Raw genomic sequence first — 15,481 nt, 5'->3', positions numbered from 1 at the left:
ACCCACTTTTAAGATTGGATTGTTTGTTTTTTTATTTTTATTTTTTGAGTTTTAAGAGTGTGTATAGGTTACATAACATTTTATTTTCTCTACATTAACATTTAATCTTCTTATAACTGTTTAAAAATGTATTTTCTTTTCTGATGGTAAAAGTAATACACACTCATTTTAGAAATATTAGATAACATAGAAGAATATGGCAAAAACATAAAAATGTAATATAGTACTAATAGAGATAATCATTTCTAACACACACACACACACACACACACACACACACACACACACACATATTTTAAAATGCAGGCTATGTATTGCCTCCAAAGGCAAAACCAAATTTCTTCCCTTTATTCTTTCCTTCCTACTCTTTTATCTTCTTGATATAAAAGTGTCCAGCTTCTTTTGATTCTGGAGGCAAAGGTATCATGCAACCTGGAAGAATTTGCCTCTGAAAAAAGCTAAGTGGGATGTCTTTGATTTAAGGGAAGTGGGCACCTTAAATGTTCGGGGGGCAAGAGGTTAAGATCAGTGTTTTGCCTTGAAAATGATGTTTCCCCTAATAACTCACATTTGCTTTAAGTATTTTATTTTGTTTTGTATTAATAACACACAGATATTAGCTTTAAAAAACAAATAAACATCAATACCTCTACATCCCCAGCACCCTTTTTTAATATTTCTCCTATTCGTCTCATAGACAGTTATGATTCTGAAGTCAGGGTATATCATTCCCAAGGAGAAGTGTATAATTTTATTACAGATCTCTGTATCAATATATAATAAACTTTTTGTATGGGACCTATTAAAACTAATTTTAATGACTTTCAAGTTTAAGAATAATTTTGCAACTTTTTTCATGCAACATTATGTTTTTGAAATTTATCAATATTGAAACAAGTGTTATAGAGAAGGCATTGCATTTTCCCATGACAGCCATCAAAAATGTATTCCCTATAGGCATACATAGTATGTCTATTTTTACGTATCTGAATCATGCAGCATTTTGATGTTTCAGAGGATTTTTTTTCTTACCAGCATATTGTTGGCATATTTTTCAACCAAGTGCCCAGAATCACCTTAAACTGTAGATTTGGTTTCTATATTACCTTTCCTTAAAGTTATCGTGGCACCGTGTAGCTTTAGCTCAAGCTTCACTTTCTGATTCCATTTTACTTTGACCTGTATGGAGTATTTGATGAGTATGTTTAGGAAAACAAATAATATTCTCAATTTAAGTATTACATATTATGATCTAATTTTATTACTCATCACTTTTTGATATTACATATATCTCATATTTTCCAAGATATTTCAATGTATGTAAGCAGATCAAATTTATTAGCATCTATTGGACACAGCAGGTACATTTAACTGCTCATTTAAGAGTAAATAATCTAAAACATGAAACATAATACATTCAGCTAAATGGCATATTCATAATGTATCAAAACAACTAAGAAAGAAATTTGTATTAATGGATTAAAGTATATCAGGGTTGAATTAACCAGAGAGTAATTTGAATTAATATATCTGGATGCCAGTGAAACTCCCCCATGTCTTTTCCAAATTATACACTGTCGACAGATTACGCCAGAGGCAATGAAGAATCATGGAGTGTTGTTTCCTAAGCTGTAACAATTAAGGTAGAGATTCCCTAGCCTTGCATTTATGAGCCTCCATGATGTAAATGGGATTTGCCTTTTTAAATGCTACCTGATTTGCGTTTATATATACTAGACCCTAGCCAAATTGACTTGTTTGTAATTTCAGCAAATATTCCTTTCCCCACATGTGTGCTTTAGCTCTGGATTTTCCATCTGCCTGGAAGCTTTTTCCCCCACCATATTCTCTTGTCTATTCCCTCGTCTTATGCAAGTTCTGCCTGAATACTAAGTCCTCCTTCATGATTATTTACCTCCTCCTCCTCCCTCTTTTAGAATAAATAATTTAATCTCTTATTAATAAAGCACTTGATTTATGTCAGCTTCCATGCTGGTCTAAGCATATAAAAAACAAAACATGTTGGAGAATGTAGCAGAATAGTTTTTTTTAATGAATCAATAATAATATAAGATGATTAAGTGCAATGACTCAGGTAAACACAGCTTCCATGAGAACATAAACAAGTAGGACAAACTCTGTCCAGGGGCACCTAGGAGACACTTTTCTATCTGCTAATATTTTAATAGTTATTAAACAGGAAAATTACACAAAATCTGCTTGAGTGGAGTTGATTTTTCCATAGTTCCTTCTCTTGCTCTTTCATCCCATATGTCCAAGTGGTGAGCCTAGCACAAAACCTGACATACATAAAGCTGTAAATAAAGGTGTGGTGAATTAACAACTTCATTAAAAAATGAATGACTTGCTAAAGTATCTAACCACAGTGGTAAGATGTTTTAAGAATGCTTTCTCTGTGGAGTACAGATCTAAGCAGAGACGTCAGAATCAATCTTGACAGCTGTTCTCTTGAAATCGAGCCTTTGTAATAGAGCCACATGTATCCACAGGCAATCTCTCTAACTAAACAGCAATATCTTATCATTAGGATGGCTGACTGGTGCATCTTTGTGTCCTTGAGAGCATATAGGACAGTCCACAGTGCACGTATGTTATTCAATAAAGAAAGCTTTGAGAAAGTTTTGGTTGAAATCAGTAACACAGCATGAAGTATGGTAAGGTCTTCCCCATGTGCTGTGATATATTTGCAAATCTTAATTTTTAGAAATCCAGCAGATTCCTAGTTATGTTCTCCGTTCATGATAGATGAAACTCCACTAGCAATTTGTATTGGTAAATTGTCACCTTTATGGCCACTAAAATTTATGGAGTATTTACTAGAACCCAGGCACTTGGATAAGCAATTTGTATTGGTAAATTGTCACCTTTATGGCCACTAAAATTTATGGAGTATTTACTAGAACCCAGGCACTTGGATAAGCATTTTATATTTTTCATCTATTTTAATCCTCACAACCACTTTTGTATGTTAGGAACTACTATTATTTCTATTTATAAATGAAGAAATTGCAGCACAGGAAAGTTATAGAAAGTGTCCATTGTTTCATAGCTAGAGGATAGGCAGGTTGGATATTGGAGCCCAAGACTCTTAGCACTTACACTTTACTTCTAAACTGCAGCATAATTAACATATAAATAAAAGACAGTATTAGAATTTTTCGTTAAAACATACCACCTAGCAATAACTGTATTACTTCATTAGTATTTTAAGATTTCCATAACAAAGTATCACAACTCAGAAGCTTATATAATAATGTATTTTCTCACAGTTCTGAAGCATGGAAGTCCAACCCCAAGGTGTCAGCAGGAGGTTTGGCTCCATTCCTTGAGTCCTGAGGGAAGAATCTGTTCCAGACCTCTCTCCTTGCCTAGAAATAGCTGTCTTCTGCCTATGTCTCTTCACACTATCTTTCTTTCATATGTATCTCTCTGGGTCTTAATATCCCCTTTTTATAAGAACACTAGTTAGATTAAATTAAGGCCTACTCTAAGAACTTCACTTTAACTTGTTTGCCCCTATAAAGGTCAAATAAGATCATATTTTGAGGTGCTGGAAATTAGAACTTCAACTTATAAATTTTGAACTCATAACAATTGCCATGAATTAAAAAAATAAACAGCACAGTCGTGAAATTTAGATAGGAAAATCTGTTTCTTTTCAGGAGAGTAGTTATTATATTTAAGAAACACAAGGAAATATTCATTTTAAGTTTTAGATAAATAATATCTAAAACTTCCTTTTTTTTTTTTTTTTGAGACAGAGTCTCCCTCTGTCACCAGGCTGCAGTGCAGTGACACGATCTTGGCTCACTGCAGCCTCCACCTACCAGGTTCAAGCAGTTCTCTTGCCTCAGCCTCCGGAGTACCTGGGGCTACAGGTGTGCACCACCACACCTGGCTAATTTTTGTACTTTTAGAAGAGATGGAGTTTCACTATGTTGGCCAGGCTGGTCTCAAACTCCTGACCTCAGGTGATCTGCCTGCCTCAGCCTCCCAAAGTGCTGGGATTACAGGCGTGAATCACCACACCTGTCCCTAAAACTTCCATTTTTTAAAGGTAGTTTTAGAATTGTGGCATTAAGTCCCTCAAAAATCATAGTTTGCTGCTAAAAACTACTTTGTAAAGTCTATTTTCAAGTGAAGATGTAACTTTCTACATGTTAAGACTATATACTGAAGGTTGAATGTCTCTTATCCAAAATGCATGGGGACAGAAGTGTTTCAGATTTTTGATTATTTGCATATACATAATGAGATATCTTGGGGATTGGACCTGAGTCTAAACACATTTATTTATGTTTCATGTATACCTTATACAGATAGCCTGAAGGTAATTTTGTATATTTTAAGCGATTTTGTGCAACAAAAAAAGTCGGACTGCATTTTGACTGCAACCCATCACACAAGGTCAAGTATAGAAATTTCCATTTATATTATCATGTCAATACTCAAAAAGTTTTGGATTTTGGAGCATTTCCAATTTCAGATTTCTGGATTAGGGATGTTCAACCTATATCCGTTTGTCTTAAACAGATTTAGGATGAATTTGACTCTTGCTCAAAGAACATATTGCTGTTCATGTAATGCAGTCTAATATAATACTAATTTTATATGAACATATTTTTAGCCTGTTTTGTGAGGTCAAAAAATAACAGACAGTTGTTTTCTGCCTGAAAGTCACTTATCATTAAAATAATAGAAATGAACAGTACCCAGAAAAGGAAAAAGAGAGAAAAATAATCAACAGAGCAAATAATATTCCACTTATGCAAATTACTCTCATTTCTCTCTCCATGCCGAAAAACAAGCATGACTGTGAGGCTGTTCCATAAACAATAGATAACGCAGCTGTTCCTCAGAAGGCCATTTTAAAATTCACTTTTATTAATTAGGAAACTAATTCTAGAAAGAAAGGGAAAACTCTTTAACCTCCATTGATTAACTAAGAACACGCTCCTCTAATTGGTGACGAACTGCTTTAATCATGGTAGAATAATGGATTTCACACTTAAGCATTCCAGTGCCCCTGAGCTTCAAGATTTTTTACAGATTCTCTCTATAGCACTGAGGACTCTCAATTTTCTTCAGAGTTGATTTATTTAAAAAGGACTTTACTGCAAAAGCAACTGGTGTCATTTCTCAAGTGCACATAAGACCAGATATAAAAGGCTTTATGCTTGGTTACCCTTGCATTCAACATTCTGGAAGCTGCTACTCTTCAAGAGAATAACTATTTTCCTGGAACAACCTAAACCACTGCTACACCTTAAAGTAATTATTATAAGGTTTAGCTTTTCTTTCAACTACATTTTACCCTGAAACTGGAAATGTAGGGTTATTCAGAGTAATCTTTGTTTCATAAACAAATGATATTTAATATTGTCAAATGATACAAAATAGTACAAAGACAGAGATGGCAAAATATCATAAAATTCAAGACGGTATTTTGTATTTTGAAAATATGGGTGCCCAATTGTAAGACCCTCAAATAGCATATGTTCATAATGTCCTCAAAACATACTGGAGCCATTACTATAAATGTTTGACATTTAATAAAATAAAATCAACTGACCGCAAGAACTGGTTAAATATAATTAAGAATCCTACCCTTTGTGTTTTTACTCAGAATAACAAATAGTAATGAAAAGAGATGAATGAATAAATTAATATTCCTATTTAAATACATCTACCTCTCTTACACTATTTTAGTAGAAATATCACCAGTTGAAATTTATAAATGAGTGAGTAAAATGAAGAGAGGATAGAGAAAGATTGACCACCGATTTCAATCAAGACAAACATTTTGGAGCAGAAAAAAGAGCAAATGGTTCTAACACTTGAACCAGACAGTTGTTTGTTTGCATTTAACTTTCAAATGTGATTTAATTTACTAAACCATGTTGGTTCAGAAATCAAACATAAATTTCTCTTCTAAACTAACTGTTTGGTGGGCTAAACAGGGGGACTAAGCGAGAGGCATGCATTATTTTCAGAGAGCTTAAATCTATGGGTTATTCATACTCTCACATTAGTAAAACCTTTTTCTTGTTAAAGTGGTACTTAAGTGGTTTTCTTAAACAGGTGATTTGAATTACAGAAAGTCCTGCAATAATTTAATCTTCCTTTAAGGTTGCTAAATTAGATTAGATTTCTTATAGATAGACAAGATTTTTAAAGATAAGCAGAAAATTTCTTATATCTCCTAGAACTATATGCTTACTTTATCTTTCACAATAAATATTGGGCCCCAGAAAATGAAATTTAAAAATAACAAATGAGGTTAAATTCCTAAAAATCTGCAGGCCTGGATAGGGAGAGAGAGAATTCTCATATCATTGCCTCATAAAGTATCAATTAGATACTGCATTTCTTCTTCTCCTCATAAAATACATGTATAGAGAGAGTGATAAAGGGATTTCCTATGTAATTTCCAGTAATACAGGAATTTCTTGATTCACCAAAATGAACAAACAAGCACACATACAAAATGTTTACCATAATTTACACATTGCTCTGCCAGTAACACACAGGTATTCATATTGCACCAACATTCTGGGAGCATCTTGGTAATGACTCTGTCTTGTGATGAGTTATTTATTTAGGAGGAGCCCATGTGTTTCAATACTGCAGCTGTGATTCTTTACTCAGATTGCAAAGCTCTTTTCTCTGGGTTTCATCAGATCCTGACTTGAGGTTCTGCCTCTCTCCAGCCTTTTGTAGCCATTTCTTCTTATCCTCCCAGTCCTTCTTCTCATCCCAGCTCAAGGGATCACTCATAAGAATAAGAATAAACCTTTGTAATGCAGTCCTTTCAGCCTGTGCTAAGTTCAAATGTAGATTGCCAATGAATCTTTTTTCTTTTTATGCAGAGGATGCCAATACATTATAATCTTATATCATTTCCAAGGAAAAAATCTAAGTTAACTTTACCAGTTCAATTTACGCAGGTTACAGACCTAGAAATGTCCAGGTTCTATGAACATTTATTGAACATTTTGCATTGGTATATTAGTGTCGCTCAAGGAAAGCACATGATTTGTATCAAATACTGATTGATTGAGCCTCAAAGCTATTTGTGATAGTAAAATGCCTTCCTTAATTTACAAGCCAAATTCAAAAGTAAAACTTCACTCTTTTGACTCAACAGTATGTGTGATCTTACTGGGTAGTGGTCATAAATGATCAAATAATGTTCTTCTAATCAATCAGCAAATGTTTATTAGATGATTGCTATGTATACCTCAGATTGGTATTCTGGGGACAATAGTGTGAGCCCCAAATATCTGAGGCAGATCTCAGTTAATTTAGAAAGTTTATTTTGCCAAGGTTGAGGACGCCCTCCCATAGCACAGCCTCAGAGGTCCTCATGACATGTGCCCAAGGTGGTTAAAGCACATTTGGTTTTACACATTTTAAGGAGACATGAGACATCAATCAACATATGTAAGATGAACATTGGTTGGGTCTGAAAAGGTGGGACTACTCGAAGCAAAGGAGGGACAACTCAAAGAAGGGAGGGGGCTTCCAGGTCATAGGGAGATAAAAGACAAATAGTTGCATTCTTCTGAGTTTCTGATTAACCTTTCCAAAGGAGGCAATCAGATATGCATTTATCTCAATGAACAGCAGGGTGACCTTGAAGAGAATGGGATGCAGGTTTGCCCAAGCAGTTCCCAGCTTGACTTTTCCCTTTAGCTTATTGATTTTGAGGCACCAAGATTTATTTTCCTTTCACAATAGTAATGAATTCAGGAAGTTCATCCTTTGTGGGATTTATTATCTGGTTAAGAAGATGCATCTCCAATAAGTCATGGTTAATCTAATAAATATAATGTTATGTGGAGTACAGGGGGGTATGAGTAATGTTAATAAGGTACCTAACTTATGTAGAAGGTAGAAGTGGAGTAGAGGGCTCTCCTGAGGAAGAATCATTTCATCTGAAACATGAATGATGAATAATAAGTTGCCAGAAAAAAGATGAAAGAATCATACAAGAAGGAGAAGCAGAAGAGTGTTCCAGGCAGAAAACAGCTTGTCAGAGATCCTGAGGTGGGAATGAGCAAAACCGTGAGCATCTTCTATAGGATTTTTTCCTTCCATCAGACTTCAGCCTACATGAATATCACAATGAAGCAAGCAACATAAGTACATTCTTCTCTGATTTGACATCCTGGAGAGATGCTTGCTGCATGCCATGCCAAAGAATTGAACACTGATAACAGCACAAAAGACTGAACAGTTCATGATCTGAAAGGAAATGGTATATGAAAGCCAGAAATAAAGGTAAGTGCAAGTGAAATATTTTCACCTTCATTATTTAAGTTAATTTTGAGTGACTCCAAATGCTACTGTGTATACTGTGCTGAGCTGATGAACTAGACTATATCATTTGCCAACTCAGTTCTTATTTGATATCACTCAAAATTCATATTCAATAAAATGATAGCATTTTACAAAATGTATGTAAAGGTGAATTTAAAGCTTCAAATGGGAGGAAGAGGGAACATGCACAGCTAGATTAATTTGAGATATTAAAATGATGAAAAGTGTAACTCTATTCAATGAAGATGTTATGTCATTGCTTTCCAGTATAAAGGCAAAAGTAATTCTAAGTCATTTAGCCAATTTGTCCTTAGCATCAGAGTTGTATCTTTGCTAGCAATATTTTTTTATTATTTATTATTTATTGAATTCCAAGTAAGCATCACTATATAAATCATTATATACCTAGTTCCTACCACAAAGGCATACAATCAAAGTCAAATAGAGAAAGCAATTCAGATATAAAATATGTCAAATGAGTTAATGAAACTCCGAAGATTGAGATTCTTACTTATAAATATGCCTTCATAGCTTAGGAAGTAAAAACTATAAATAAGACAAAAGTCCTACTGATAAGAAACTCACATTCTAGGTATATTCTTAACTATGGTTTGCTATTAAGAACTAATGAATATAATTTTAGCTCACAGGACATCTTCCTAGAAAACAAACAAACAATAATATAATATGGGGAGGGTGCTGCCAAGATTACCCTCTACTCTCTGTTAATCTTTCTCCCACTATAGCTTCTTACTTCGTCGAAAAGACAGAATCCTGGTTTACAATAACCTTGATTGTATTCTTGAAAACGTGGTGCTTTTACCTCAATAATTTGTCTAGTTTTCAAAAGGAAAAAAGAGTAGAAGCAAAAAGAGCTCAGGTTTCCAATGAAACCTTTTCACTTTACTTTCAACTTACCCAGTTGTTAATGGTTCTGCACCACAAAGCATCACAGGCATAAAGACAGTATTTGACTACCATTCTTTATACTGTGCTAACCTCCTGTTATATAATGGGAAGGTCATCATATTTGCCCAATGTGAAATGCAAAAAAAAAGATAGATTGATGAACAGATACATATCCCTATCTCTGTCTCTGTCTCTACCTCTATGAATATCTGCCTATCAATATCTATGTATCTATTCTTCTACCCATGTCTTCAATACCTTCAACATTTGGCACATAGTAGTTTCCCAATATATATTTATTTAAATTTGACACTTTTTGTTTTTATTTTTAATATAACTCTCATTTTAAGAAAAAATGAATTCAAATATGTGAAGTTATAGAAATTAAATTAAGCTACGCTATTCAAAGGGTCTAAAAATTCAGAATTGGTGAGCCTTTCTGGAAACATAATACATAACTGAATTTTTAAAACTCAATTTACAAGTGATCTTTTGGGATAAATCAAGTACATTTGAGAACTTACAGAAATCCCAATGTCATTTGATCATTGAGTTCTAAAGCAAATGATGCCAAAACCTGAGAAAATGAATTTATGTTTTGTGTACTTGGCCATTGACATTTTGAAGTATTATATATTTAAGATTTATCTACAGAAGCTGTGTTTATGCTTTTTGGTGTATCCTCTGATGCATTTCATCTGCCAATCCTCTGGTTCTGAAGGCATGTATCCATCAGTGACTTGAGTCTGTTTTGGATTAAGAAAATCTAGGATTGGAAGTTATACAGAGACAATATCATTAATGAAACCATTTACTAGGTGATTTGGGCCCTACTCATTCCAATAAGGATTACTGTTAGATATCTGACTTCCATCTCTATCTGCACAGGAGAGGGGATTTGTCAATGGACACATGAAAAGTGTTATTTCATTCAATGAAGATATGTCTTTGCTTTCCAATATAAAAGCAAAATAATTCTAAGTCATTTAGCTAATTTGTCCTTAGCATGAAAGTTGTATCTTTGTTAGGTAATATTTCTTTATTGTTTATCATTATTGAACTCCAAGTATGCATCACTATATGAATCATTGTATACATAGTCCATATCCCAAGGCATATCATCAAAGTCAAACAGGGAAAGCAATTCAGACATAAAATATGTCAAATGCGTTAATTAAACTCTGAAGATTGAGTTTCTTAATTATAAATATGTCTTCATAGCTTAGAAAGTAAAAACTATAAATAAGACAGAAGGCATAATCATAAGAAACTCACATTCTAGATGTATTCTTAACTATGGTTTGCATTAAGAACTAATGAATATAATACTAGCTCACAGCATATCTTCCTGGAAAAGAAAAAAACAAGAATATAAGGTTTTGGGGAAGGTAATAGGGTCATGCTGATGTGATTTGAAGTTCTATCTTCACCATTTACTTTGAGAAGTTGGGCAATATAAGCCTCCTCAAGCCGGTTCTCTTCTTCCCCCAACTTTTGATAATCATATTAATGCTCACATAAAAGCATTGATCTGAGTATTAAATGTGATAATATGTGTGAAATATTTACATCAAATCCTGAAAAGTTATTACTGTGAAAAAAGGAGAACACTTCTGAGCTCACCTAGATTTTGATCTAGATGACCGACAATCAGTATTAGCTGACTATAAATAAAGTGCCCTAAAAGTCAGAGCAAGCAGAAATGGACATCTTCTCAATATAAAAATTTGAAGTAGAAATGATGAGATTGAATTAGCATGTCTACAATGCTTTGGAAGCAGTTAGATATTACTGCAGGGGTTTTGGGTAGAAACACAAGATTCAATGGGTACTATTCTCTTCCTAAGGATTGATTCCTTTGCTTTTCATCTGGATTGATCCATGAAACGGGTTTGGAGAGATGAAAGAAGAGTGTCCAACTGACTCTTTGATGAGGCCATTACCTAATTTCAGAGACAAAAAATAAAATAAAATAATAAAATAAAAACACTTGGAATTCAAGTGTCTTTTATGATTTACCTGAGGTATCTGTAAAACTTGAATCCTTGCCCTTTTTGGCAAGATTTTTCTCATATTCCAAACAAAGGTAAATCTTTGTCTCTATATTTTCCAAACTAGCTAGGTGCTCTTTGCTAGAATTGTAAAGATTCATAATCAAAGTGTATGGACTACTACCTAGATTTGGAAGGCAATTTATTTCTTCCATAATATTTTATAATAAATATTTATAAGTGCAGTATGTGTAAAGTGGCTAAGCACTTAACATGATAGATGGGATTATTTCTACTTTACGTATGAAGAAACACAAGTCACAGAGCTAAAAAGTAGCAACACCAGGAGGAAAAAAACATACAGGTGGGTATGATTCTGTTACTGGAAATGGGTCCTGATTCAGACCCCAAGACAGGGTTCTTGGACCTTGCACAAAAAAGAATTTGGGGCAAGTCCATAGAGTACAGTGAAAGCAAGTTTATTAAGAAAGTAAAGGAATGAAGAATGGCTACTTCATAGGCAGAGCTGTGGCTTGGTCTGCTCACTGTGATTACACTTACAGTCATTTCTTGATTATATCCTAAGCAAGTGGTGTTTATCATGAGTTTTCCAGGAAAGATGTGGGCAAATCCTGGAACTGAGGGTTTCTCCCATTTTTGGACCCAATAGGGTAACTTTCTGAAGTTGTCATGGCATTTATAAACTATCATGTTGCTGTTGGGAGTGTCTTTTAGCATTCTACTGCATTGTAATTAGCATATGAGCAGTGAGGATGACCAGAGGTCACTTTCATTGTCATCTCGGTTTTGGTGTGTTTTGGCGTGTTTCGGCCAGCTTCTTTACCACAACCTGTTCTATCAGCAAGGTCTTTGTGACCAGTGTCTTGTGCTGACCTCCTATCTCATCTTGTGATAGGAAGATGAGATAGTTCATTATCACACTACTATAAATAACTGCCCAAGAGTGGGCAATTTATAGAGAAAGGAGGGTTTAATTGACTCAGTTCCACATGGCTGGTGAGGCCTCAGGAAACTTACAATCATTGCAGAAGCAGAAGCAGGCATGTCTTACATGGCAGCAGGTGAGAGAAAATGTGTGAAGGAGAAACTGTCAAACAGTTATAAAACTATCAGGTCTCATGAGAACTCACTCACTATCATGAGAACAGAATGGGGAAACTGCCCCCATGATCCAATCGCCTCACACATGGTCCCTCCTCCAACAAGTGGGGATTACGGGGATTACTATTTGAGATGGGATTTGGGTGAAGACCCAGAGCCATACCATATAATTCCACCCCAGCCTCTCCCAGATCTCATGCCCTTTTCACGTTTCAAAACCAATCATGCCTTCCCAACAGTCACCCAAAGTCTTAACTCATTCCAGTATTAACCCAAAAGTCCAAGTCTCAAGTTTCATCTGAGATAAGGCAAGTCTCTTCTGCCTATGAGCCTGTAAAAGAAACAACAAGTTAGTTACTTCCAAGAAACAATGGGGGTACAGGCATTGGATAAATACTCCTGTTCCAAGCAGGGTAAATTGACCAAAACAAAAGGCCTATAGACTCCCTGCAAGTCCAAAGTGGACAGAGCGCTCGTTAAATCTTAAAGCTCCAAAATAATCTCCTTTAACTCCATGTCTCACATCAAGGGCATGCTGATGCAAGGGGTGGGCTCCCAAGGCATTGGGAAGCTCTGTCTCTGTGGCTTTGCAGGGGTCAGACCCCATGGGTCCTCTCATGGGCTGGCATTGAGTGCCTGCAGCTTTTCCAGGTGCACAATGCAAGCTGTCAGTGGATCTACCATTCTGGGGTCTGGAGGGCCCTAAGTCCTTAGAATGCCTAACCTCCTGGGAATGCAGCCCAGTATGTCTCGGCCTTGTTTTACTCAGCCCCTCTCCAAGATGGAGTTGCTCTTGTTCAAACATCTCTGACAATTCTAGAACCAATGAGTATAATCACTAATTAATATTGCTTCAGTTCTACTCCACTGGGTAAAGCTTCACTTATGTTACTGTCTAGAAGTGGAAAAATTGTAAAGGAATGGCAGCATGTTATACAGAAAATATAACATGTAATAAGTTGAATTGTAACCCCCACTCCCCAACAAATTCATACTTTGAAAATTCCAACCACCAGTACCTTGCAATGTGACCTGCTTTTGGAACTAGGGTTATCACAGATGTAACTAATTAAGTACAGATTAGTCATCAGGATAGGCCTTAATTCAATATGACTGGTGAACTTATAAAAAGAATGCATGGGGAAAGAAAGACACATTAAAAGGAAAAATGACATGAAAGCACAGGAAGAAGATGGTCATTTACAAGTCAAAGAAAGAGGCCCGGAACAGATCTTTCCCTCACAGCCTTCAAATGGAACCAACACTACTGACAGCTTGATTTTGAACTTCTGGCCTCCAGAACTGTGAGATATTACATTTATGTTGTTTAAGCCACCCTGTTTGGCACTTTATTAAGGTAGCCCTAGCAAACTAATGCAGATAACCTTACTAAAATACAATTTTCATTATTCTAGCCAGGAGAAAAGAAGGAACAACTCAATTCAGAACGAATTGTTCTACAATGAGGAGCCTAAGCATAGGCTTTGGGACCAGGAAGTTCATAGCAAAGGAAGCCATGTTAGGAAAAAGACAAAAAAGCACTTTCTCTCAATAAATGTATTTTAAATGAATTCAGTCCATGGATGCTTTTGTATATTGTTAGGTAAAAAGACCTTAGATGATTCCAAATTTCTTTCAGTGGCTCGCAGGCTCACTGCAAGAGTCCCTCTAGGGCTCACACACATTCTTCTTTGTTTTCTACTTTTTACTTCTGCCTCCTGTTCCACTCTGTGTGGTTTGTAGCTCTTTCATTGGCTGCTGCTTGTTTGTTTTCTTTGCTGTGCTACATTTTGTTTAAGGCCAGTAGTCTAAGTAAAATTGTTAGCTTGGCTATCAAAAAAAAAAAAAAGTTGAACACATGGACTATGGAAAACTTGTATTAATCCCTTTTTCAATTAATAAATTGGTTAAAATATTCTCAGGTAAATGTCCAGAGATTTTTTTTAAAAAATGGAAAAAGAATGCTCAGCCAAATTTGTACACAACTTTTGATTACTTAGATATTAGAATTTTTAAACCAGGATACCTTTCTTGGTAAGCAAGATTGAGTTTTTATTGAAAGTGTTGGTGTTATGAGCTAATAACTAGTAGCGCTAAGGATAAGTAGAACAAGGAGGAATGAAGCTTTTCTATAATCTCATCTCAGAGAAATTCAGTTTAACTCTCTACTTGATAGTGGGAGCACTCTTCAAGTAGGGGAAAATATATAGATCAGTTAATTAACTATGAACTCTCCTTTCCTTAAATGCCTATGTTACTTTATTTGCCAAACAGTTCCATTTCATGCAGTTGAACTCCATCTTATCTCCAAGGTAGGTAAGGCCAAGCAGAGTGCAAGACAAGATTGTTGTTCCCCTTCACTCAACTGGTGTGTTGCCGAACACTTACAAAGCAGTGAGGAGCAAAACTAAGAGAGCTTACATGTAAATGAGAATCTGCAACACAATGCAGTATCATGAGAGATTATAAACATTTTTCAATGTATTTTCCAAAAGGATTTCTTTCGGTTGAAATTCGGCAGAAAGAGGGCAAATCCTGAGAAAAATATTGGAGGTACTGGTATTCGGCATAAGAAATTGCAAGGTTATTTCATAAGTGCAACCAGATACTTCATAACAGAAATGTAAGCATTTCTATTGGAATGAATAATATTGTGTAAATTGTTGTTCTTTTGCATTTGTTAAAAACCAGGCACAGTTACAAGTTTTGTTAATAAATCATTGAATTGATGAAGACAACGTGAGATATTTCTCTGTTTTCTTTTAGTAAAGTCCCTTGAAATCCTGTCCATGAATCAAAAGCAATCTGCACTGGCTACCAACCCCTTAATAATCCACCTTCTCAGAGAGAAAACACTTAATTGCCGTTCAGTGGCCACACAGAACAAATGCCCTTGAGGTGGGGAGAGAAAAGGAAGAAGTGTCATATGTTTGACGGAAGGACACACACACATATGGACACATGTACACAAAGCAAACTAAAACAAAACAAAAAACAAATAAAACCGATTCCTGCAGATAACCATGTAAAACCCATTTGTAAAACATGTGCTATGGAAATATTATGGGAAGAAAGAGTAAAACTGTCCATGAAAAGAAACACATGTGACACTACTA

The sequence above is a fragment of the Homo sapiens genome, chromosome 14 (assembly GCF_000001405.40).
Source record: "Homo sapiens chromosome 14, GRCh38.p14 Primary Assembly".
Classification (NCBI taxonomy): Eukaryota; Metazoa; Chordata; class Mammalia; order Primates; family Hominidae; genus Homo; species Homo sapiens.
This window is presented reverse-complemented; position numbering follows the sequence as displayed.